Source organism: Homo sapiens, chromosome 13 (genome assembly GCF_000001405.40).
Source record: "Homo sapiens chromosome 13, GRCh38.p14 Primary Assembly".
In the NCBI taxonomy this organism is placed as follows: domain Eukaryota; kingdom Metazoa; phylum Chordata; class Mammalia; order Primates; family Hominidae; genus Homo; species Homo sapiens.
This window is the reverse complement of record NC_000013.11, coordinates 49,910,897-49,936,429: the sequence shown is the minus strand read 5'-3', so window position 1 is coordinate 49,936,429 and position 25,533 is coordinate 49,910,897. Positions and strand designations below refer to the sequence as shown.

The 25,533-nt window shown below is 40.4% G+C and overlaps 1 protein-coding gene across 5 annotated transcripts, besides 1 other annotated feature; it reads left to right on the top strand.

Annotated features, from left to right (window-relative positions):
• Window positions 30-279: an enhancer, noted in NCBI's record as "active region_7755". NCBI's record gives its function as "activates an Ori minimal core promoter by ATAC-STARR-seq in GM12878 lymphoblastoid cells {active_cell/tissue: GM12878}" and the evidence as "EXISTENCE:reporter gene assay evidence [ECO:0000049][PMID:35858748]".
• On the top strand, window positions 90-23,728 carry SPRYD7 (SPRY domain containing 7). Of its 5 annotated transcripts, XR_007063693.1 has the most exons (6): window positions 90-300; window positions 5,296-5,412; window positions 8,345-8,511; window positions 14,850-14,952; window positions 18,209-18,337; window positions 18,966-21,453. XR_007063693.1 is itself a non-coding variant. In NM_020456.4 (5 exons), exons 1-5 carry the CDS (start codon window positions 195-197, stop codon window positions 21,365-21,367), a joined length of 591 nt encoding a protein of 196 aa, NP_065189.1. In that variant the 5' UTR covers window positions 90-194; the 3' UTR covers window positions 21,368-23,728. The 5 variants fall into 5 exon arrangements, 2 of the variants coding, with proteins under 2 accessions (NP_065189.1, NP_001120954.1); XR_007063694.1 differs by lacking the exon at window positions 5,296-5,412 and having other exon boundaries at window positions 18,966-20,693; NM_020456.4 differs by lacking the exon at window positions 18,209-18,337 and having other exon boundaries at window positions 21,270-23,728.
• The last annotated feature ends 1,805 nt before the right edge of the window (window positions 23,729-25,533 follow it).

Genomic DNA, 25,533 nt, shown 5'->3' with positions numbered 1-25,533 from the left:
TCCGCGTCTTCCTCGCAGGCCAGCCTAAGCTCAGCCTGCATTGCGCCCTCCCGGCCTAGGGTGTCGCTGTACCGGCCTCCGAGCTCCACATAGACAAGTCCGGACCTCGGGCGGGGGCAGGAGACGGAGCTGAGCGGCGGGGGGCAGTGTCGCCTCGGTCTAGGGACGGCGGCGGAGTCGGTGGTCCCTGCGCGATGGCCACCTCGGTGTTGTGCTGCCTGCGGTGCTGCAGAGACGGGGGGACTGGCCACATCCCTCTGAAGGAGATGCCGGCCGTGCAGCTGGACACGCAGCACATGGGTAAGGGCCCTCCCTTCCCCAGACCCAACGGCTCACGGGGGCCGGGCGCGGCGGGCAGGGGGACCTTCAGGGTCAGAGGGTCCCCACGCTGCCCCGCCGCGCCGGCGACGCTGCGCCGACACCATTTCGTCTCGCAGATCTCTCCAGAAGCCGGCGGACTCCACCTGGGCCCGGTTCTGTGTTCAAGGCTGCGCAGCCCTCTCTGTGTCTGTCATCGCGAATGGGCGTGTGGACCTCCCATTTTCACAGGAATCTCGGAGGCTTCCTCCGGAGATGTCACACGTCCTCGGGCGAGGGGGCGGAGAGTGCCCTTCTGGCGCGCCCCAGTGAAAACCTACACATTTTCAGAATGCTTCTAGGTCCGGTCTTGCTCCTCCTCCTGCCCTGACTGTCGGTCCTGTCTCTTGAGCCCCATCATTTATAGGTTGAATCCTATATTATTGGAAGTAATTTTCCTCTCACCTCCTAAAGTCGAAACAAGGCAGACTGCAGAAGTCTGAAGTCGCACCTCAGGTCAGAACTTGCCATTTCAACTAAAACCTCCCATTGCCCGACTCCTTAGTCATTGTGAGAGGTACTGTAATTTCATCTGACTGGCCTCTTCCCAACAGGTCTAACTGTTGAAAAATAAAATAGCACTTTGCTCCTTTGCATCTTGCTTTATCCTTTTAATTCCAAATCCATATAATTTATCTAACATTCTTCCTCTCCCATCATAGCCTCTTTCACCACCTTATTATTTCTTAGACTTTTCCCAGGTAGTTTCATGCTTCTGGAATGTGGTTCTAGAAGGAGAGATTTCCCAATATAATTATTTCAGTTAGAGTACTGTCTTTTTGTGGATTATTTTATTCTAACTGTACTTCTGCACTTTTGATTTTTTACACGTTTCTGATTGTTTAAAGGACAGTGCATTGAAATAAAAAGGCACTTCTTAATATTTATGATAAAACTCTCTCGCCCAGTTTCCTTATAATTCTGGAAACACTCTGCCCACTGTATTTTTGTATAACACATACTAAATGTGATAACTATATAATCACCTTGTATGTGTGTATTTACTTTTAATTCTCAGATCTCCCAAATGTAGTACAGAACCTTAATACATAAGTAATCTTTAAATTATTTTTTATCCATCATTATTTATAGACGATGGAGTTCAAATTCTATAGTTTTCCTCAGAAAATATTTCCATTTCAGTTACTCATTTACTGAAGTGATATTTATTAAGCAATTATCAGGTGGCAGGCATTGTTATAAGTGCTGAGAATATAGTGAAGGACAACCATACATAATTCCTGGAACTCATGATCAACTGCAGCACTTCTTCCTATCTTTACTGTTAGACTCTTGAATTACTGCAGTCTCCTCTTTGGAGCATTCCTTTTCTCTGTCATCTGTTTCCTCTAGGAAGAGCTGGTCAGATATACTCATTCCACTGTGTTTTATTTCTCCAAAGCTGTCCAGCAACTGTCAGCTACTAACTGGATGAAATAGAGTAATGTCATCTCCAAATTTTCTAACTGCATGGAAGTTTTTTCTTCTTCTTTTCTTTTTTTTTTTTTTTTTTTTTTGAGACGGAGTTTCACTATTGTTGCCCAGGCTGGAGTGCTGTGGCACAATCTCCACTCACTGCAACCTCCGCCTCCCGGGTTCAAGCAATTCTTCTGCCTCAGCCTCTTGAGTAGCTGGGATTACAGGCGCCCACCATCAAGCCCGGCTAATTTTTGTATTTTTAGTAGAGACAGAGTTTCACCATGTTGGTCAGGCTGGTCTCGAACTGACCTCGTGATCTGCCTGCCTCTCAGCCTCCCAAAGTGCTGGGATTATAGGGGTGAGCCACCACGCCCGGCCAGGAAGTTTTTTCTTAGCCTGTCTTTCTATAAACTTAAATTATTCAATCACAGAGGAGCCTGATTTGAGAACCTGAATAAAATGAAAGAAAAGGGTTGTTGAGTTAGAAGAACATGTTTCAAGCATGAATTGATCTTGACTTGAAAATAGAAACACATGGATTTGGTGGTGTGAAAGATTATTATATTAAATAACCTAAAAAATGTGATTGCTTTTTTTTTTTTAACAAAATTGTCTGTATACTTCAAGTGATTCTCCGAGGGTTGTCACTTATTTTAGTGATGTTGTATTACTTAAAACCACTTTGGAATTCCTCTTTTGGAATTTTCTATGGCATAATTTTTGTAAGTATTATCATTGATGCCATATCTTTGGCTTTTAATTGTGAATCGACATTTTAGAAACAAATGACTTCCAAGGCAGCTACTTTGAAAGGGACACCGCTCATTTGGAAATTTATGTTTCTTAAAACATCCTCTGTGGCTATGTTTATGTGGCATTCTGGCTGTACTCAAATTTGCCTTGACCGTCTAAGCAGCACCAATCATTAAAAGTACAGATTCTAAAACCGTCTGTGTACTTAAGAGAAATGGGATAAGCTTAAAATGATTCCCTAATGACTCATAAACACCCTGAATATTCTTTCTTTCTTTTTTTTTCTTTTTTTTTTTTTTGAGAGGGAATCTCGCTCTGTCGCCCAGGCTGGAGTGCAGTGGCCTGATCTCAGCTCACTGCAACCTCCGCCTCCTGGGTTCAATTAATTCTCCTGTCTCAGCCTCCTGAGTAGCTGGGACTATAGGCGCCCACCACCATGCCTGGCTAATTTTTGTATTTTTAGTAGAGATGGGGGTTTCACCATGTTGGCCAGGCTGGTCTTGAACTCCTGACCTCAAGTAATCTGCCTGCCTCAGCCTCCCAAAGAGCTGGGATTACAGGTGTTAGCCACCTCGCCTGGCCAAGAGTGTTATATCCCATTGTGCTCTGCAAAAGTCCTGAGATTCTGATTGTAGTTGATTAGGTCATGTAGCAGTTCTTGACTCAGTTACTGTGGCCAAGAAATGTGGAGGGCACTGATTGCCTTAACCTAGATCAAATGTTGTACACCTGAAGCAGAGATTGAGTCAGCTTTCTTGGAACTGTTTTGATCTCCAGAGGGAAGTCTGTCGGGAGAGGGAGAACAGATACTGCATGTCCACTACAAAGTGCTTAGCACAGCATATTAATTCAACCTTTATCAGTTATTTGATGAGCAGCTGCTCAATGCCAAGCACTGCATGGTCTTTGCCATCAAGGAGGATGCTCTCCAGTTGAAATTACTGGAGGTATATGGAGTAGCCAGATGCAAATTATTTATAAAGGTACTTTCCCAGAATTTGGGGGTTAACTTTTTTAATTAGAAAAAAAAAGATGTTAATGAATTTTTAGTAATCATACAATAGGATCTCAGTTTTGCCTTGTTTAAGGGAGAGCATCTCTTAACCAGTTTAGAATTGTGTTAGAATCTGAAAATTTTGCATTTCTTTTATGTATTTGTACCAAATAATTTTGTTTAACTGTTAATTCAACCTTTTGTTACTATGACCTAATTTTATTTAACCCCTTCTGGAAGAGTCCCATACAGTTCGAATATTCAGATCTGCTTGGCTGGTACAGTTATTGCCAGCAAAGTGGTGGTAGTGGCCACAAGTATGGGGAGTTATGCATTGGTGTATGGGCTATTTCTTACATATTAGAATTATGTAATTCTGTGTATTCTTACATGTTAGAATTATGTATATTCTCTGATAGACATTTTCCTAAATCAAATTGGTACTAGGATCACATCAGGAGACAGTGTCTCTCTTTCTCACTCTCATCTATAGATGTCGTTTCATCTAAAAAATTTTCTACGAGAATAAAGTGCATGTAAGAATGTTAAAACCTTGTTTACATATTTGCAATGTGATTGAAGTAGCTATCTTAATAAACATTTTAAGATCCTAAAGTTAGCAGTTTGTCACTGTCAGGTATTTCAACATAGATGTGTGTTCTTTTTCATATTCCCTGTACTCTTCAGTTCTTACATGACTAATGCACAAGTATAGTAGCTTGTATTTAGTAGGCATTCAGGTGGCTTTTAGTAAATTGTTTTAATTCATTTGAATAGAATTGAAAACTACCAATTTACTAAAGTCTCTTGTGTTTATGTTTTGGTTTAAATTAAGAAATTTATGAAATCATCAAATTGGTTTCCTGGCTAAAAATTAAAAGAGTTAGTCTATTTCTACCTTAAAAGTGTTTTGAACGTTCAATATAATTCAGAGTTATTGCAGTTTACTTGAAACTGCTTAATTAAAACTTACTTCTCTCGCCCAGGCTAGAGTGCAGTGGTGCAATCTCAGTTCACTGCAACCTCTGCCTCCCAGGCTCAAGTGATCCTCCCACCTCGGCCTCCCAAGTAGCTGGGACTACAGGCTTGTGCCACCACACCAGCTAATTTTTGTATTTTTTATAGAGATGGGGTTTTGCAAGGTTGCCCAGGCTGGTCTCGACTTCCTGCACTCAAGCAGTCTGCCCACCTCGGCCTCCCAAAGTGCTGGGATTACAGGTACGAACCACTGTACCCAGCATGCTTAATTAAAACTTATACATACAAATGAATATTACTTATAAATGTTCTCTTAGGAAAAAATAGTGAATTAAATATTTAAAATAATTCAGCTATATTTCAAAGTACTTACAGTGTCCCTATTTTTTGTGGACTGAGTTAGAACTGAACAAATTAATCCTGATTGTTGGATTGAAAATAGAAAACTTGGCCAGGCGCGGTGCTTCACGCCTGTAATCCCAGAACTTTGGGAGGCCAAGGTGGGCGGATCACGAGGTCAGGAATTCAAGACCAGCCTGACCAATATGGTGAAACCCCCATCTCTACTAAAAATATAAAAATTTAGCCAGGTGTGGTGGTGCACACCTGTAGTCCCAGCTACTCGGGAGGCTGAGGCAGGAGAATCACTTGAACCCAGGAGGCAGAGGTTGCAGTGAGCCAAGACCGTGCCACTGCACTCCAGCCTGGGTGACAGAGCAAGACTCCGTCTCAAAAAAGAAAAGAAAAGAAAAGAAAATACAAAACTTTACATAGTGTCTGCATTTTTTGTTTAGGAACAGATGTTGTTATTGTAAAGAATGGAAGAAGAATATGTGGAACAGGAGGTTGTTTAGCCAGCGCACCTTTACATCAAAACAAAAGCTATTTTGAATTCAAAATCCAGTCCACAGGTTGGTATAATGGTACTTTACTATTAAAAGTCCTAATTGTTCTAAATATTAAGAGTAATTTGTAACACATAAAAAAGATTCAGAAGGTAATATAAAAGCACCAAACTCTTAGAAGATCTGGGTCTTCCACCTCTTGTTGTGTGATCCTGGGTAAATTAGTTAATTTAGTTAAATTAGGTTCAGTTTTCTCATCTATAAAATGGGTATTACAGGAGCTGCCCATTCTGCCTCACAGGAACTCTATGTATGAAAGTGTTTTAAGACAAGACATGCTGCATAAATATAAGGCACTAGTATTTTTAATGGGATCCGGATGAACCCTCTTGTTTGGTCAAGCATATAAGGTCAAACATATAAGCAGCATATACTCTTGCTATTTATTTTAGGATTAAAGTCAATCTGTTGATTCTGAGTTTTTCTTTTTTTTTTTCTTTTTTGAGATGGAGTCTTGCTCTGTCACCCAGGCTGGAGTGCAGTGGCGCGGTCTTGACTCACGGCAACCTCCGCCTCCCGGGTTCAAGCAATTCTCTTGCCTCAGCCTCTTGAGTAGCTGGGATTACAGGCATGCACCACCATGCCCAGCTAATTTTTATATTTTCAGTAGAGACAGAGGTTTCACCATGTTGGTCAGGCTGATCTCAAACTCCTGATCTTGTGATCTGCCCTCGTCGGCCTCCCAAAGTGTTGGGATTACAGGCATGAGCCAGAGTTTTTCTCTTAACTCAGTTATTAAGATACCCTGATTCAGTGTTTTGAAGCAGTCATCAAATTCAGAATTCAGATAGAAGTCTGCAGTCTATATTTCTCTTTTTAAAATTTATGGAGTTTCTTGAACTGTAAAGCAATTCTATGTGATTATAATAGGTTAGTTAACTGTGCCTGTATTGTATATGGGAAAACTTTTAAAATAAAAGCTTTACTGTAAAGTGATCGGGCATAGTGGCTCACACCTGTAATCCCAACACTTTGGGAGGCCGAGGTGGGCAGATCACCTGAGGTCAGGAGTTCAAGACCAGCCTGGCCAACATGGCGAAACCCCATCTCTACTAAAGATACAAAAATCATCCAGGCATCGTGGTGGGCACCTGTAGTCCCAGTTACTCGGGAGGCTAAGGCAGGAGAATTGCCTGAACCCGGAAGACAGAGGCTGCAGTGAGCTGAGATTATGCCACTGCACTGCAGCCTGGGCAACAGAGTGAGACTCCGTCTCAAAAAAAAAAAAAGTGGCTGGGCGTGGTGGCTCACGCCTGTAACCCAGCACTTTGGGAGGCCGAGGGGGTGGATCACGAGGTCAGGCATTTGAGACCAGCCTGGTCAACATAGTGAAACCCCGTTTCTACTAAAAGTACAAAAAATTAGTCAGGCGTGGTGGTGGGCGCCTGTAATCCCAGCTACTCGGGAGGCTGAGGCAGGAGAATCGCTTGAACCCAGGAAGAAGAGGTTACAGTGAGCCGAGATCGTGCCACTGCGCTCCAGCCTGGGCAACAGTACAAGACTCTGTCTCAAAAAAACAAATACAAAAACAAAAACAAAACAAGCTTTATTGTAAATAAACTTCTAGTGAAATACTGCATCAGTAATGTGGGTAGAGAATAGGAAAATGAGAGTGGAGTAAATGAATCTTACTATTACTTGGCCAGCCTTGAATGATATAAAATTTCCCCCTAGGGCTTATTTTCTAAATTATTTTTACTTATTTATTTATTTATAGATGGGGTCTTGCTCTGTCACCCAGGCTGGAGTGCAGTGGCATGATTATAGCTCAGTGCAGCCTTGAGCTTCTAGGCTGAAGCAGTACTCCTGCCGCAGCCTTCCCAGTAGCTGAAACTACAGGCTCAAGCCACCGTGCCTAGCTCTAAATTAGTTTTAAATAATGATTTTCAATGGGGCATGGTGGCTTACACCTGTAATTCCAGCGCTTTGGGAGACTGAGGCAGGAGGGTTGCTCAAGGCCAGGAGTTTGAGACCAGCCTGGGCAAACATAGCACAACCCCATCTCTACAAAGAAAAGAAAAATTAGCTGGGTGTGGTGGCTTAAAATACTGGGTAAGAAAATGATTTTACACCTTATTGTTAATTTCTCCTCTCCATGATATTGCTTATGGTATATATTGTTTGTCACTCATTGTAGATGTAAAAACTGAAGACAGTACATTCCCACTTTTCAAAGGGAGAGCTTGAAATTGAACTCCAGGCCATTTAAATTCAATGTGTAGCTTTTAAAAAATCTTTTTGAGATAATAATAATGATGATGATGACAGCTAGCATTTTCTGAATACTTACTGTGTGCTTTACTTTCTCATGCTGTGGAGTACTTACACTGTTCAAGTGCTTTACTTGGATTATCTTGTTGTATCTTTTCATTACCTTGCAAGGTGAGTACTGTTAGAATCCTCAGTTCACAGATAAGGGAACAAAGAGAGGTTAGGTAATTTGCGCAAGATGATGTAGCAGAGTCAAGATTTAATCCTCATTTGCACTGTTCCAGGGCCCACTCTCTTATCTCCTAGGCTGTACTACATCTGTGGAGAACATAGTATAGTTTGCAAACTACTTTTATTTTATTTTATTTATTGAGACAGGGTCTGGCTTTGTCGCTCAGGCTGGAGTGCAGTGGAATGATCATGGATCACTGCAACCTCAACTTCCCTGGCTCCAACAATCCTCCCACCTCAGCCTCCTGAGTAGCTGGGGTTACAGGCACATGCTCCCATGCCCAACTAATTTTTGTATTTTTTGTAGAGACGGGGTTTGGGCATGTTGCCCAGGCTGGTGCAAACTACTTCTAAAAGAAGATTTTTTAAAAAGAGTAATAGAAAACAATTTAGTGTTAATACAGCACTTCCTTTAAAAAGTTTATACTCCCTTTTAAAATAACTCGATGGTTGTAGTCTTCAGATTTTGAGGGCATTTAAACTGTTATATTTTTAGGAATCTGGGGTATTGGTGTTGCAACTCAGAAGGTTAACTTGAATCAGATTCCTCTTGGCCGAGATATGCACAGTCTGGTGATGAGAAATGATGGAGCCCTTTACCACAACAATGAAGAGAAAAATAGGCTGCCAGCAAACAGTCTTCCGCAGGAAGGAGATGTGGTGGTGAGTTCCCTCATGGAGTTGCTTTCCACTGTAAATGACTAAATTTGAACTGCTTTTAGTATCTACAGCTTTGTCTGGGAGTTTGTGGTTTGAATTCCAAAGCAGTGGGATTGGATCTAATGAGATGGTGCATTTTCCAGGAGAGCACTTGGTGTAGATGTTGCACCCTACTCAACTGCCCCCTCCTTTTTAGAGCTGCCACTGGCTGGGAAAATCAGTGTGAACCCTTATTTCTACTCTGGAGAATTAATGACAGGCTGTCTGCTGATCACACATTCCTGTTTCTCTCACATTAGAGAAAACTTGGCCCACAATTCTAAAAGTTTGCTGAAGCTTATATTAGAAAATACTAGTTATTTTTAAGGCTGGATATCTCTTAGGGAAAATGTTCACATTTATTTCTTCTTCTTGTTTTTTTTTTTTTTCTTAGAGTCTCGCTCTGTCACCTAGGCTGTAGTGCAGTGGCATGATCTTGGCTCACTGCAACCTCTGCCTCCCAGGTTCAAGCTATTCTCCGGCCTCAGCCTCCCGAGTAGCTAGGATTACAGGCGCACACCACCAGGCCTGGCTGATTTTTTTTATTTTTAGTAGAGACGGGGTTTCGCCATGTTGGCCAGGCTGATCTCGAACTCCTGACCTCAAGTGATCCACCTGCCTCGGCCTCCCAAAGTGCTGGGATTACAGGCATGAGCCACCGCGCCTAGCCACACATGTATTTCTTAATTTGTTATGAAATTCTATTAAGAGAATTACAGCATTTTATCAGAAATGTTCATCTTCATTAAACTTAACCTAATTAAACTCTTCAGAGAACGGAACTCAAAATCCTAAAGCTTGATCGTAGAAAAGTTTTTTTTTTAGAAAGCAGAGGATAGTAAAAGTTACACGTTATTAAGACTTTTCTGTTTTTACTCCTAACTGGCTATATTTAACTCTTTACAAAGCTAGCACATTGAAAATGTAATCCAAAGATTTCTTTCTGTCTTTTCCAGATACTTCCTTCCACACTGCATTATCCAAAACCCCTCCCTATCCAGAGGTCAGGCCATTGATTTAGAACAGAGTCCTAGAGTCTCCTTCAGCCGAGGTGCCCTTGTACACTGAACCTTGGGTTCTCAATTCTGATATCAAGTTGAAAGGAATCTATGAATAATGAGAGAAGGATTCTAATAAGATGAAAAGATAAGAGAAATCCAGGTTAATTAATTATGAAAAGGTACAGTATTTTAGAAAGAATGAAGAAAGGTGTGGAAATTAAGATTTTTAATTACGGCCTGATCTTTCTTCTCTTTTTTGCAATTTAAAAAATATGAACAACTGTAAGTTTTTAATTGTTGGAAGTTTTTTTTCCAGAATTGACTAAAGAAAAAAAGGAGATGAAAGGCATAAGCCATTAAAAAAATCTGCTTTTTCCCATGCTTTTTGAATAGTTGGTTCTGTATTTGTAGATCATTGCCAGATGCCCATAATATGGAACATCCTTATTCAAATGGTAATTTCTTGAAAGAGAATCTTGAAGTCAAGTTGATGCTGTCAACCTGTTTACCCTAAAAGATGAAATTCAAACATAAGAAAGGATAATCAGTAACAAATGTTTTTCTTTGTTGATGAACTGAAACTTCTACCTGCCTTCCTATCTCATTTCATTCATTGTAATGTCTGATAGCACAGTGTGACAGACTGAAGAATGCCACTTTTAGTCTGTCAGTGTTGTTAAATTAGACTTCGAGTTTTCATATGAGCTCATTCTCATAAAAGGAGAACTAAAACTATGAAATACATGCAGAGCCAAGAAAAGAAAAACATTACCCTGCTATTTTAACTAGTTCAAACACTGGAGAACAAATTTTACCAAATTGTTAACAGTGGCATGCAATAAGTAGAATGGATTATAAGACAGGAAAAGCATTCTCATGTGTTTAGAATTTAAGTCATGTACCATTCTCTGAGGAGAAATCAAGAAAAATAAGCTGTGAACATCTAACCAAATGATTATATGATTATATTCATATGATAATCACCCAGTACAGCACGGCCTGCTACAGAACTAGAAAGACATACATGAAACAGTTTATGCTCACTTTCTCCTTTTTTTTTTTTTTGTTTTCAGATGGCCACTCGCTCTGTCACCCAGGCTGGAGTGCAGTGGCGCTATCTTGGCTCACTGCAAGCTACACCTCCTGGGTTCACGCCATACTCCTGCCTCAGCCTCCTGAGTAGCTGGGACTACAGGCGCCCGCCACCACGACTGGCTAATTTTTTTCATTTTTTACTAGAGACGGGTTTTCACTGTGTTAGCCAGGATGGTCTCCAACTCCTGACCTCATGATCTGCCCACCTCGGCCTCCCAAAGTGCTGGGATTACAGGCGTGAGCCACCGTGCCCGGCCTACTTTCTCCTTATACATATAATTCTGAAAAGTACAAATTTCATTCTAACATGCATGTATCAGTTTACTTTTAGAGAAGTCTTATAAACATTCTATGTAATAATAACAATAACAAACACTTCTAAGCATTTATTTATTGAGATGGAGTCTCACTCTGTTGCCCAGGCTGGATTGCAGTGGTGCCATCTCGGCTCACTGCAACCTCCACCTCCTGGATTCAAGCGATTCTCCCGTCTCAGCCTCTCTAGTAGCTGGGACTACAAGTGCGTGCCACCACGCCTGGCTAATTTTTGTATTTTTTAGTAGAGACGGGGTTTCACCATATTGGACAGGCTGGTCTCGAACTCCTGACCTCGTGATCCACCCACCTTGGCCTCCCAAAGTGATGGGATTACAGGCATGAGCCACCGTGCCCAGACCTAAGCATTTATTATGGGCACTGCTCTAAGTGCCTGGCAAGGATTAAATTGTTTAATGCTCATAATGGCCCTTTGAAATAGGTATTATTATTATTATTATTATTATTATTATTATTTATTTATTTTTTTTTTTTGAGATGGAGTTTTGCTCTTGTTGCCCAGGCTGAAGTGCAATGATGCAGTCTCGGCTTACTGCAACCTTCACCTCCCGGGTTCAAGCGGTTCTCCTGCCTCAGCCTCCTGAGTAGCTACAATTACAGGTGCCTGCCACCATTCCCAGCTAATTTTTTTGTGTTTTTAGTAGAGACAGGGTTTCACCATTTTGGCCAGGCTGGTCTGGAACTCCTGACCTCAAGTGATCTACCCACCTCGGCCTCCCAAAGTGCTGAGATTACAGGTGTGAGCCACCACGCCCGTACGGTAGTAGTATTATTATCCCCATTTTACAGATTAAGAGAAATTAAGTAACTTCTTATGTGAGTTAATTACAAGACTATATAGCTCAGCCAGATACTATGGCTCATGCCTGTAATCCTAGCACTTTGAGAGGCCAAGGCAGAAGGATCCCTTGAGCTCAGGAATTTGAGACCAGCCTGGGAAACATAGTGAGACCCCATCTCTACAAACAAACAAACAAATAAATAAATAAATAAAATTTAAAAAGAAAATTAGCCGGGCATAGTGGCATGCCCCTGTAGTTCTAGCTACTTGGAAGGCTGAGGTGGGAGAACTGCTTCAGCCTGGGAGATAAAGGCGGCAGTGAGCCGTGATCCTGCCGCTGCACTCCACCCAACCTGGGCCACACAGAGCAAGACCTTGTCTCTGGCCGGGTGCGGTGGCTCACGCCTGTAATCCCAGCACTTTGGGAGGCCGAGGTGGGCAGATCACCTGAGGTCAGGAGTTCGAGACCAGCCTGACCAACATGGAGAAACCCCGTCTCTACTAAAAAAAATACAAAAAATTAGCCAGGCGTAGTGGTGCATGCCTGTAATCCCAGCTACTCGGGAGGCTGAGGCAGGAGAATCACTTGAACCTGGGAGGCGGAGGTTGCAGTGAGCCGAGATTGCGCCATTGCACTCCAGCCTAGGCGACAAGAACGAAACTCTGCCTCAAAAAAAAAAAAAAAGACCTTGTCTCAAAAACAAAAACAAAAACCAAGATCATACCTGAAGCAGTCTAATTTCAGAATCTGTTCACTAACCTGCACACAATTATTAATAAAGACATAGAACACACAGTATATTTTGCTATCATTTTGGCAGAATCAAACCCAGTTTCTTCATCATAGAATAGATTAGGTTAGAAAACACTTGAACTGGCCCATCACAGTGGCACATGCCTGTAATCCCTGCACTTCGGGAGGCTGAGGCGGGCGTATCACACTGAGCCAAGGTCGCGCCACTGCGCTCCAGCCTGGGCGACAGAGTGAGACCCAGTCTCAAAAAAAAAAAGAAAGAAAATACTTGAACTAAACTATACTGAGGGTGGGACTTCTCACATCTTTCCTCACTTCTTTGGTACTGGGATTTTGCTACTGCAGGCTTGGGTTTAAAACTTGCTTGTTTGAGGCTGGGCGCGGTGGCCAACGCCTGTAATCTCCGCATTTTGGGAGACCGAGGCGGGCAGATCATTTGAGGTCAGGAGTTCAAGACCAGCCTGGCCAACATGGTGAAACCCCATCTCTACTAAAAATGCAAAAATTAGCCAGGCATGGTGGCGGGCGCCTGTAATCCCAGCTACTGGGGAGGCTAAGGCAGGAGAATCTCCTGAACCTGGGAAGTGGAGGTTGCAGTGAGCCAAGATCATGCCATTGCACTACAGCCTGGGTGACAGAACGAGACTCTGTCTCAAAAAAAAAACAAAAAACAAACTTGTTTGTTTGCAATCGGCCACTGGGGGATGAAAGTGCCTGGATTACAACCTCACTGATCTGAACTGCTAGATTTCTGGTAGTCCCATAATGAGAGTAACATACTTTCTTTTTTATGTAATTAAGTTTTTGTTTTTTAAAATGAAAACAGACTTTTTCATTAGAAAAGTGAATCCCAGCCATCAGCTAGCTTTATTACTATTATCTAAAGACATAAACTAAAGCGAAGCAAAGGCAATCTATGTACTATTTATCTTTCTCAGTATTCCTTAATTATTAATAATTGTTTAAGTTAACCCTGGCTTTGCTAAGAATTGAGAATCTTTCATACCACTTACCACATTAGCTTCTCTGGGCTTTTGCTGTCTTGCTTGTAAAGAGAGAGAATTTAAGACTAAGATGATCTATAAAATTTTTTTTTTTTACCTCTAAAAAGCTTTTAACTTGATAGAATGTATCCACAGTCAGAAATCCTGAAATCCTTGAAGTGGTTTGCTTCTTGGTCTATGATGACTTCTCTATTGAAAGATCTCTGCTGTCTTTCAAGGGAAAGATCTCTTTTTGTTATCAGTTAGTAGCTATTGTATAAAGTTTTAAAGAGAGATATGGTGATTAAGAGCAAGTGTTTAAAGAGAGGCATGGTGATTTAGAGAGAGGTATTGTGATTAAGAGCAAGGATTCTGAAACCATACTGTATGGATTTAAATCACAGCTTTTCCACTTCCTAGCTGTGCAACCTTAGGTAAATTACTTAATCTTTCTGTGCTTTAGCTTCATCTGTAAAATGGGGATAGTAATACTGTCTTGTTGTGAGGATTAAATGAGTAAATATGAACTGCCTAGAATAGTAGCACTATTGGTTTATAACATGGGCTAAGTCTTTTCTAGCCTTTTATTTATTTATATAAATAATTTATATTTATACAAATAAATATTTTATTTATATAATTATAAAATAATTATTTTAACAATAATTATTAATATCACTAATTGTGATTTTTTTCCATCAATAGTGTACCGAGTAATTTTATTACATTGTTTTTTAAATCATTTGAGCTACTATTTTTGTTTTTTAACTTGAAACTAATTACCAATTTTATTCAGTTGTGAACACCAGCTTTTCCTTGATAATACACTTGACACATTTGAAACCAGAGTAAAGAGATGTAGAAATGTGTTATTTCTTCCTGGAAATAAAATGTATAGAGACGTTTCTTCATAATTTGAAAACAGTGACAGGTAGTAAGTCCTGACAGTGAAAAAAACCTCATTGTTTTTCCTTCTTTAGATCAAATTCTGTAGAGAAAGAGCAGCGTTTTCTGTATGAGTGTAAAAGGTTTCTCTATTCATGGTATGTAGTACTTATATTATCTTAGCATTCAAAATATAAAATCCAGATTATACAAATATAATTCTAGGATTTAAACTGTTGGCTTTGTTTTACCTCTAATGTGGACTCTTGGGATGTTACCTGACTTTATCCCCCCTCATAATCACTACTCATTTTTTTAGCTCAGTTCAAGTAGGATTCTACCAAATTGTCAACCCTTAATGAAAATTGTTGTCAGCCTATGCTTAGCTTTTTGTGTTTCCATACTTCCCAGTCAATGCTTTCTGACGGCTCAGCTTTTATGGAACGTTTCTGTTTTTTCCTTCCTAGGGTATTACTTATGACCATGTCGAATTAAATGTATACTTGAATGGAAAAAACATGCATTGTCCAGCATCAGGTATACGAGGGACAGTGTATCCAGTTGTTTATGGTAAGCAAAAATATTTCTAATGTATTATTACATACATATTAACTTGTTTGGTGTGTGTATCAGTCTGTTTTCATGCTGCTATAAAGACATACCCAAGACTTGGTAATTTATAAAGGAAAGAGGTTTAATTGACTCACAGTTCCACAGAGCTGGGGAGGCCTCAGGAAACTTACAATCATGGCGGAAGGGGAAGCAAACACATCCTTCTTCACATGGCAATAGGAAGGAGAAGATTGAGCGAAGTTGGGGAAAGCCCCTTATGAAACCATCAGATCTTGTGAAAACTCACTCACTTTTACAAGAACAGCATGAGTGTAACCACCCCCATGATTCAATTACCTCCCACTGGGTCCCTCCACAACACATGGGGATAATGGGAACTATAATTCAAGACGAGATTTGGGTGGGGACACAGCCAAACCATATCAGCGTGTATGTTACTTTTATAGCTATCATCTAGAAATCTGGACACATTGTTAATAAGGACCTTTTTATTTTATTTATTTATTTATTGTTTGAAACGGAGTGTCACTCTGTCACCCAGGCTGGAGTGCAGTGACACGATCTCAGCTCACTGCAGCCTCCGCCTCCTGGGTTCAAGCGATTCTCCTGCCTCAGCCTCCCGAGTAACTGGGATTACAGGTGCCTGCCACCACGCCTGGCTACTTTTTGTATTTTTAGTAGAGATGGGGTTTCACCATGTTGGCCAGGCTGGTCTTAAACTCCTGACCTCAGATGATCCACCCACCTCAACCTCCCAAAGTGCTGGGATTACAGGTATAAGTCACCGTGCCCAGCCATAAGGACCTTTTTATATGGATTGTAGTCGGTAGGATATTACAATCCCACTTTGCAGGATTAAGGATAGTTTCTGTTCCCCATGTATTAAAATAAACTTGCTAAATACAATGATTACACTTAAATATGCAATAACCGTACTCCCTTTTTCAACATGTAGTTTTATGTTTTAGAAAGTTTCAAAAAGCTTTACTGAATTTAGAAAACTTTTTCTGCAAGTCATTGGGAATGATTGCATGGCCAGGAAACATAATTATAAATAATATTTTGGAATTAGAGATGGGAATTTTATGTAGACTGTACATTAATAACCCTTACAAAATTCCTTAAATGTTAATGCTCTTCTGAGGGAAATAGTGACTTAGAATTTTAATTTTAACTTTAATTTTTTGTTTTTTTGTTTTGTTTTGTTTTGTTTTGTTTTGTTTTGCGACAGAGTCTTGCTGTGTCCCCCAGGCTGGAGTGCAGTGGCCCGATCACAGCTCACTGCAGCCTCAAACTCCTGGGTTCAAGCAATCCTCCCACCTCAGCCACCCCAGTAGCTGGGACTACAAGTGTGCACCACTATTGGGATTACAGGCATGAACCACTGCATCCGGCCTACCTTAATTTTTATTATAGAAAATTCCAAACATGTACAGAAGTAAAAAGAATAGTATAATAAACCCTCATATACCCATCAGCCAGCTTCAAACAATTATCAACTTGTAACCAATCGGGTTTCATCTACACCCCCCCACCCCCAATGCTGCTATTGTTCTTCACTTACCCTCCTTGGGTTATTTTGAGGCAAATGCCAGGTAATATATAATTTTATTCATAAATGTTTTATTTGTATCTCGAAAAAAAGGTCTCTTTCTTTTTTTTTTTTTAGAAAAACATAACCACAATGTCTTTATCAATCCATTCTGCTTTATTTTTTATACTATCAACTTTTTTTTTTTTTTTTTTTTGAGACAGAGTCTCACTCTGTCACCCAGACTGGAGTGCAGTGTTGTGATCTTGGCTCACTGCTGCCTCCGCCTCCTGGGTTCAAGATATTCTCGTGCCTCAGCCTCCAGAGTAGCTGGGATTACAGGTGTGTATCACCACACCCAGCTAACTTTTGGGGTTTTTTTGTATTGTTTTGTTTTTTTTGAGACAGAGTCTCATTCCATCGCCAGACTGGAGTGCAGTGGCACGATCTTGGCTCACTGAAACCTCCGCCTCCCAGGTTCAAGCGATTCTCCTGCCTCAGCCTCCCGAGTAGATGGGACTACAAGCACGCACCACCACACCCAGCTAATTTTTGTATTTTTAGTAGAGATGGGGTTTCACCATGTTGGCCAGGATGGTCTTGATCTCTTGACCTTCTGTTCTGCCCGCCTCGGCCTTCCAAAGTGCTGGGATTATAGGTGTGAGCACCTGGCCAACTTTTATATTTTTACTAGAGATGGGGTTTCACCATGTTGGCCAGGCTGATCTCGAACTCCTGAGCTCAAGTGATCTGCCCACCTCGGCCTCCCAAAGTGCTGAGATTATAGGCATGAGCCACCGTGTCCAGCCTATTTTGTATTATCAACTTTAAGTAAACAGGTATATGATTTTTCTGCCTTTGGTTTTGTAAGTCTAAAAATATTTTCTCATTTAAGTTCTTAAATTTGGGTTATAATAAGAACTAATTAGGACTGGCGTGGTGGCTCACACCTATAATCCCAACACTTTGGGAGGCCGAAGCCGGTGGATCACTTGATGTCAGGAGTTTGAGACCAGCCTGGCCAACATGGTGAAACCCCATCTCTACTAAAAATACAAAAAATTAGCCAGACGTGGTAGCGCACTCCTGTAATCCCAGTTACATGGGAGGCTGAGACAGGAAAATCACTTGAACCCAGGAGATGGAGGTTGCAGTGAGCCGAGATCATGCCATTGCACTCCAGCCTGGGCGACAGAGCAAGACTTAGTCTCCACAAAAAAAAATAAAATAAAATAAAATTAAAAAAGAAAGAAAAATAACTAATTAGGCCAGGCACGGTGGCTCATGCCTGTAATCCCAGCAGTTTGGGAGGCCAAGACAGGTGGGTCACTTGAGGTCTGGAGTTCAAGACTAGCCTGGCCAACATGGTGAAACCGTGTGTGGTGGCACACACCTGTAATCGCAACTACTCAGGAGGGTGAGGCGGAGAATCACTTGAACCCAGGAGGCAGAGGTTGCAGTGAGCCGAGATCACACCACTGTGCTCCAGCCTGGGTGACAGAGCAAGACTCCATCTCAAAAAAAAGAAAAAAAAAAAAAAGAACTAATTTAATTACATTTGTTGTAGTTTACTATAAAAGCAGCACTGGTGCAATGACTCATGCCTGTAATCCCAGCACTTTGGGAGGCTGAGGTAAGAGTTGCTCGAGTCCAGGAGTTGAAGACCAGCCTTGAGCAACATAGTGAGAACACGTCTCGACAAAAAATTTTAAAATTATCCAGGTGTGGTTGTACGTGCCTGTAGTCCCAGCTACTTGAGAGGCTGAGCTGAGAGGATCTCTTGAGCCGGGGAGGTCAAGTCTCCTGTGAGCAGTGATCATCGTGCCGCTGCACTCCAGCCTTGGCACCAGAGTAAGACCCTGTCTCAAAAGCAAAATAAAATTAAAATACTAAAATAAAAATAGCAGTATCAATGATGACAAACTGGGATGTCAGAATTATACAATAACAAATATAAATAATAATATGATAATAGCCAAAGCTTGTGATTACCTTTTAGTTTAAGGTTTTCATTAGCCTTCTTTTCTCCTAAAATTACTTTTCAGTCATTTTACCTTCTGTGTCCTTGCATGTAAATGTGTGTTTTAAAACTCAATTTAGTGTTGCATATTGGGTAAGCCTAAAAGCAATTCCTTTATTTACTTGAGTAAATGGAAATTTAGCTTGATATTTGAAATAGGTTAGCCTGAGAAATAAAATAAATATCAGTAGAGTGACAGTTATACAAGTTAACTGTAGCAAATAAGTTTAATGCTCTAAACTGTTTCTTTTATTCAGCATTATTTGTAATGTACTAAGGTTATAGATACTAAATTATATTTCATAAATTGAACTCATAAATCAGTCCAATTAAACCAAGTGTTTTAATAGCCTGATCCTATCAAAGATAAACATAAAACTTAAATCCCTTTACTCTTTTGTCTTCCATCCCTAATCCTTGATCAATCCAATCATTCATTTTGTCTCTTCTTACACTCAGCCTGTAGAAAGAAAAAGACTGCATAACACTGAAGAAGTGTGGTTACAAAGTTACGACTTCCTGGCTGGGCGCAGTAGCTCACGCCTGTAATCCCAGCACTTTGGGAGGCTGAGGCAGGCGGATCACGAGGTCAGGAGATTGAGACCATCCTGGCTAACAGGGTGAAACCCCGTCTCTACTAAAAATACAAAAAATTAGCTGGGTGTGGTGGCGGGTGCCTGTGGTCCCAGCTACTTGGGAGGCTGAGGCAAGAGAATAGCGTGAACCGGGGAGGCGGAGCTTGCAGTGAGCCGAGATCATGCCACTGCACTCCAGCCTGGGTGACAGAGCGAGACTCTGTCTCAAAAAAGAAAACAACAAAACAAAACAAAAAAAAACAAAGTTATGACTTCTAGCCTAATCTGAGCTCTCAATAATTTTCAGCAATTCTTTGTGCATGTCTATGCATTCTGTGCTTCTTGCATTCTCTATTCATCCTCTGAAAATGCCTTGCCTTCTACCTTACAAAAAAAACAGGCAATCACAAGTGAACTCCAGCTTCCCTCTCTTCAGGTCCAATCCTGCCTTCTTTCCATCTCATCCCAGAAGTGGTACTCTGCATGTTGCAAACACTCTATCTGTAGTCTGGATTCCAAACTCCCCAAATCTGGAACGTCACTTTGTCAGTTATTTCATCGATATCTCATGTCATGGGCCTCCCTCTTCAGTGCTTATAAACATTCTAAGCCCCATCCCAAACGCCCTTCTTTGGGCATGCATCCCTCACTAGTCCTGTGTTTCCCCTTCCCTGGATGGCCACATTTCTTCTAGAATAACCTATATCTGCCATCTTTATTGTTTTTCTTTCTTTTTTTTTTTTAACATTTAGGTTCGGGGGTACATGTGAAGGTTTGTTACACAGGTAAACTGGTGTCACGGTGGGGGGTTTGTTGTATAGATTACTTGACTAGCTCAAGGGTAGAGCATTTGACACCTTTATTGTTATTGTTCGTTTGTTCTGCAACCCAATTCAGCTGCCATTACACCACTAATTGAAACCACCCTTGTTAAAATCACTGGTGACTTCATGAATGTCAAATCCAGTATTTACATTTTTTTCTGCATTTATGCTGAAATATAAAGTATATAGTAATGTGCATTAAACTTATATGTGCAATTTAACAAATAGCTATCAAGTGAACACTCACATTATTACCACTTAGATCAAGAAATAGAACATTTTCTTGGCCCAGATGCAGCCCGCACCACAGCTGCATTCCTCACCCAGGGGGAGTAATCACTATTGGGTGGCAGTGCTGATTATTTACTTGCTTTGCTTTACGGTCATGTTTTGTTTTGTCATCACCAGGGTCAAGGTAATGAACATATTCACCACCCCAAAGGTTTCCTTCTGCCTCTTATATCCTACTCACCACTCCCTACCCCAGCCCCAACCAAACAACCACTGATCTGCTTTCTGTCACTACAGATTAGCCCATATTTTCTAGAGTATTATATTAACAAAATCATATGGTCTTTTCTTTTGGTCTGGCTTCTTTCACTCAGCACAATTATTTGAAGATTCATTTATGCTGTAGCATATATCAATAATTCATCAGTTTTTATTGCTGAGAAGTGTAGCATTGTGTGGATATATCACAATTTCTTTATCCTTCACCAGTTGATGGACATTAGGGTTGTTTCCAGTGTGGGACTATTACAAATAAAGCTATTGTGAACGTTTGAAAATATGTCTTTGGATATACACATTCATTTCTCTTGAGTAAATACCGGTAAAAACATTTAGAAGCTGAGTAAGGCCTGCAGTCTAGTTCACAGTAGTGTACCAATGTCAGTTTCCTGGTTTGGATGTTGAGCTGTAGTCATGTAAGATGTTACCACTGGGGCAAAGTGTACAAAGGGTGCACTGGACTCTTAACATTTTTGCAACTTCCTGTGAATCTATACTTTTTCAAAGTTAAACATTTTTTTAAAAAGTAATATGTCTTAATTATATAAAATTGAGAAAATGCAGATAAGCAAATAAGAAAAAAATTACCCATATTCACATCCTCTTGAGAGAATTACTAATAATATTTTTATATATATCCTTCCAATGTTTTTGACAGATAGATTTTGATTTTTGTTGTGGCTGTTTTTACCCATAGGATTATGTTTTGTAACAGGGACAGCAGATATATTTATTCTTCTTACCTATTAATATTGTAGTATTATGGAGACAGTTTATTTTATTTTATAATTATGTATTCATTGAAATTAAAGTATTTGCTTCTAATTTATTTTCTTTCTTTTTGTATCCTTTAGTTGATGACAGTGCAATTTTGGATTGCCAGTTCAGTGAGTTTTATCATACGCCTCCACCTGGTTTTGAAAAAATATTATTTGAACAGCAAATCTTCTGAATGTATTTGTTTTTAAAACTTGTATTTCTGCACTGTTAAAAAATGTTCATCATTTAATAAAACTTTACCTGGCCTATAGATGAAAATATATTCTTAAAAATATGCTTGTTGATGCTGTCTAAGGAACCAATGTATTCAGTATACCACCCTGAAGTTGTGATTTAAAATACTTTATGTTTTGTGAAATGAAAATAAGCATTTGGGCAGTTTATTTAATTCTTATTTAAATAAATAGAATTATGGGTTTAATTAACAGTATAACATGACTATATATACATATATATTTAAAGGGAATTCTTTCTTACATAATATATTTGTTTTGATAGAGATGTAGAGTTGGGTGGGTGTTTTTGTCACTCTGAAGTTTAGACCTCATTAAATATTTGACATCTACAGTTGGATAATTTTGCCGCTTAGTGTCCTTTTTTATATACAATATAACAAAGTGAGAGAAATTTATATTACTGGCAATTTCATTTTTGGCAGTCTATTTCTGTATCATGTACCGCTTTTCTTAAAACTTAAATTGCTTATTTTGTTGTGTAATGTCATTGCTTTTGATTTGCTTTGTGAAAGGAGATAAACGTTTCAGTAATTGTCAGAGCATTTTGTTGCCTCAGGCTGTGTTACCTCAATTTCAGAGTAAGTAGTGGTTGATTAGTAATGTAGTATACACTGGCAGACATCTAGAATAGTATGATGCTTTACATTTAAATGAGGTTATTCTTTTAAGGACTTTTATTTGTATGTTTTCTGTAAGGAATAATAAAATAATTGTAATTAAGGAATATACCATACTATATTAAACACATTCTTCCTATTTTGTTAGTTATACACTAAATTCACATCACCCGTGATTATTTCAGTTCAGAGATAAGTGAATCCTCTTCATGACCCTGAGTCTTTGCCTGGTTCTTAAGAATCACTGTCCTTTAGTTAACGCCCTGTGACCTGAACCAATCACTCTATACATCTTTAGATACGTTGTCTGTTTTCAAATGAGCATGGCAAGGATGCATACATTTCCCTCCTTTATCAACTAGAAACAGTACATTGTTCAGGAAAACATGAGTGTTAGAATTAGAAAGAGATCCAAATTGTAGTTTTGCTGCTCATCCTATTTTCTCCTCTCCAAGTCTCAGATTCCCATTTATAAAAGGAGCAATCATACTGACATAAGATTCTATGATTAAATAAGGTAATACATATATAACACCTTAATAATCATAGGCACTTGCGCCAGGCGCGGTGGCTCACACCTGTAATCCCAGCACTTTGGGAGGCTGAGGCGGGAGGATCACAAGGTCAGGAGATCGAGACCATCGTGGCTAACATGGTGAAACCCTGGCTCTACTAAAAAAATACAAAAAAAATTAGCCAGGTGTGGTGGCGGGCGCCTGTAGTTCTAGCTACTCTGGAGGCTGAGGCAGGAGAATGGCTTGAACCCGGGAGACGGCGCTTGCAGTGAGCCGAGATTGCCCCACTGCACTCCAGCCTAGGCAACAGAGTGAGACTCTGTCTCAAAAAAAATTAAAATAAAATAAAATAAAAATCATAGGCACTTAGTAAGTGTAGTTTCCTGGATGGTAAAGTATCAGGGAAAGTGGTTTTCTTTCTTTTTTTTTTTTTCTCGTTTTTTTTTTGAGACAGAGTCTCACCTTGTCACCCAGGCTAGAGTGCAGTGGCACGATCTTGGCTCACTGCAACCTCTGCTTCCCAGGTTTAAGCGATTCTCTTGCCTCAGCCTCCCGAGTAGGTGGGACTACAGGTGCCCGCCACCACGCCCGTGTAATTTTTGTATTTTTAGTAGAGATGGGGTTTCACCATGTTGTCCAGGCTGGTCTCAAACTCCTGACCTCATGATCCACCTCCCTCAGCCTCCCAAAGTGCTGGAATTATAGGCGTAAGCCACCACACCCAGCCAGAAAGTGGTTCTCATGATGCTTCTCAGACCGGCAACATCAGCATCACTGGAACTTGTTAAAAATGGACACTCTCAGAACCCACACCAGACCCACCAAATCAGTTTGAGAACTGCCATTCAGTAGAGAATTATTTGCCTACTGTAAATTTTCTAAGGATTTATGATGGGCTATTTTTGACCCATAGGCTCAGAGAATCCTGCAAAATCCTTTTTTATTGTTTATTCTGCAGACAAAAATGTGACAATATGCTTTGAAAACATAGATATACTTGAGTAACATTTATTTACATAAATCCCAAATTCTACCTCTGAAGGTATATGAAATTTAACTATGTATGTATTATGCATTTTGTCTGGCTTTCTATCATAATTTTAATTTGTAAAGAATGTGCTTACTTGGGAAAGCAAATTAAAGTGACTACTGTTTGCTATCGTTATGATGTTATCTACCTCTTTTTAAAATTCTTTTAAAATTTAATTTAATTTTATTTTATTTTGAGACAGTCTCGCTCTATCACCAGGCTGGAGTGTAATGGCACAATCTCAGCTCACTGCAACCTCCACCTCCCGGGTTCAAGCAATTCTTCTGCCTCAGCCTCCCAAGTAGCTGGGACTACAGGCGCACGCCAACACGCCTGGCTAATTTTCACACTTTTAGTAGAGACGGGGTTTCACCATGTTGGCCAGAATGGTCTCGATCTCTTGACTTCGTGATCCGCCAGCCTCGGCCCCCCAGAGTGCTGGGATTACAAGCATGAGCCACTGTGCCCGGCCTCTACCTCTCATTTTTTTTTAAGCCAACCTTTTGAAAAATCATATTCTTTTCTGCCTCTAATTATACAACAGAGACATAGTACTAAAAATGATACTGAAGTTTATGTCCATGACAACAGTTTGGTGAAATCTAGGTGTGTTTTTATCTCCATACATATCAAATTTATCTTAAGAAAATTACATTGAGCTGGCCGTCCTTCCACAACCCATAACCTTAGTCTAATCATGAGAAATCAGACAAATTCAGAGGGGCATCCTATGAAACACTTAATGATGCTACTCAAAACTTTCAGGGTCACCAAAACATGGAAAGTCAGGGAAACTGCCACACCCAGGAGGAGCTTAAGAGGACATGACAAGTGTAATGTGGTAACTGGATAGGATGCTGGAGCAGAAGAACATTAGGTGAAAACTAAGGAAATCTGAATAAACCATGAACTTTAGTTAATAATGTATCATTATATCATTCATGAATTGTAACAAATGAACCATACTAACGTAAGATGTTAACAGGAGAAACTAGGAGAGTTTATATATGGGAACTCAATGCTGTCTTCTCTTTTTCTATAAATACAAACTGTTCTAAAAAACTAAGTTGACCGGAAGTGGTGGCTCACGCCTGTAATCCCAACACTTTGGGAGGCCGAGGCGGGTGGATCACCTGAGGTCAGGAGTTTGAGACCAGCCTGGCCAACATAGCAAAACCCCATCTCTACTAAAAAATACAAAAATTAGCCAGGAGAGGTGGCAGGCACCTGTATCCCAGCTGCTCGGGAGGCTGAGGCACGAGAATCACTTGAAACCGAGAGGCACAGATTGCAGTGAGCTGAGATTGTGCCACTGCACTCCAGCCTGGGTGACAGAGTGAGACTCCATCTCAATAAATAAATAAAGTCTATTTTAAAAAGTACATTGGGCCGGGCGTGGTGGCTCACACCTGTAATCCCAGCACTTTGGGAGGCCGAGGCGGGCGGATCATGAGGTCATGAGATCGAGACCATCTGGCTAACATGGTGAAACCCCGTCTCTACTAAAAAAATACAAAAAAAATAGCTGGGCGTGGTGGCGGGCGCCTGTAGTCCCAGCTACTTGGGAGGCTGAGGCAGAAGAATGGCGTGAACCTGGGAGGCGGAGCTTGCAGTGAGCCAAGATGGCGCCACTGCACTCCAGCCTGGACGACAGAGCAAGACTCTGTCTCAAAAAAAAAAAAAAAAAAATACATTGACTAAGAGAACTTTTTAAATAAAACCTTTTGTTAAGCCAATAGAATGATACTAATACAGTATAATACCCATACCTTAAATATATAATGATAGATAAATATAAATGTAGATAGGACATAAAACATTCTTGTATTTTAACATGCAAAGACTTGCATTTTTTCCTGGCTCAACGAGGCATTGTTCACTGTCTTGATTCTGCTTATTGCAAAAGTCCATTTGTCCATACTAGGGTAGTTTTTCATACT

Excerpts from the sequence above, each read along its gene's own strand:
- SPRYD7 (NM_020456.4), top strand. The coding sequence starts at position 195 with ATGGCCACCTCGGTGTTGTGCTGCCTGCGGTGCTGCAGAGACGGGGGG. Across the intron at positions 301-5,295 it reads GCTGGACACGCAGCACATGG|GAACAGATGTTGTTATTGTA; the intron begins GTAAGGGCCCTC and ends TTTTTTGTTTAG. Across the intron at positions 14,953-21,269 it reads AGTGTATCCAGTTGTTTATG|TTGATGACAGTGCAATTTTG; the intron begins GTAAGCAAAAAT and ends TGTATCCTTTAG.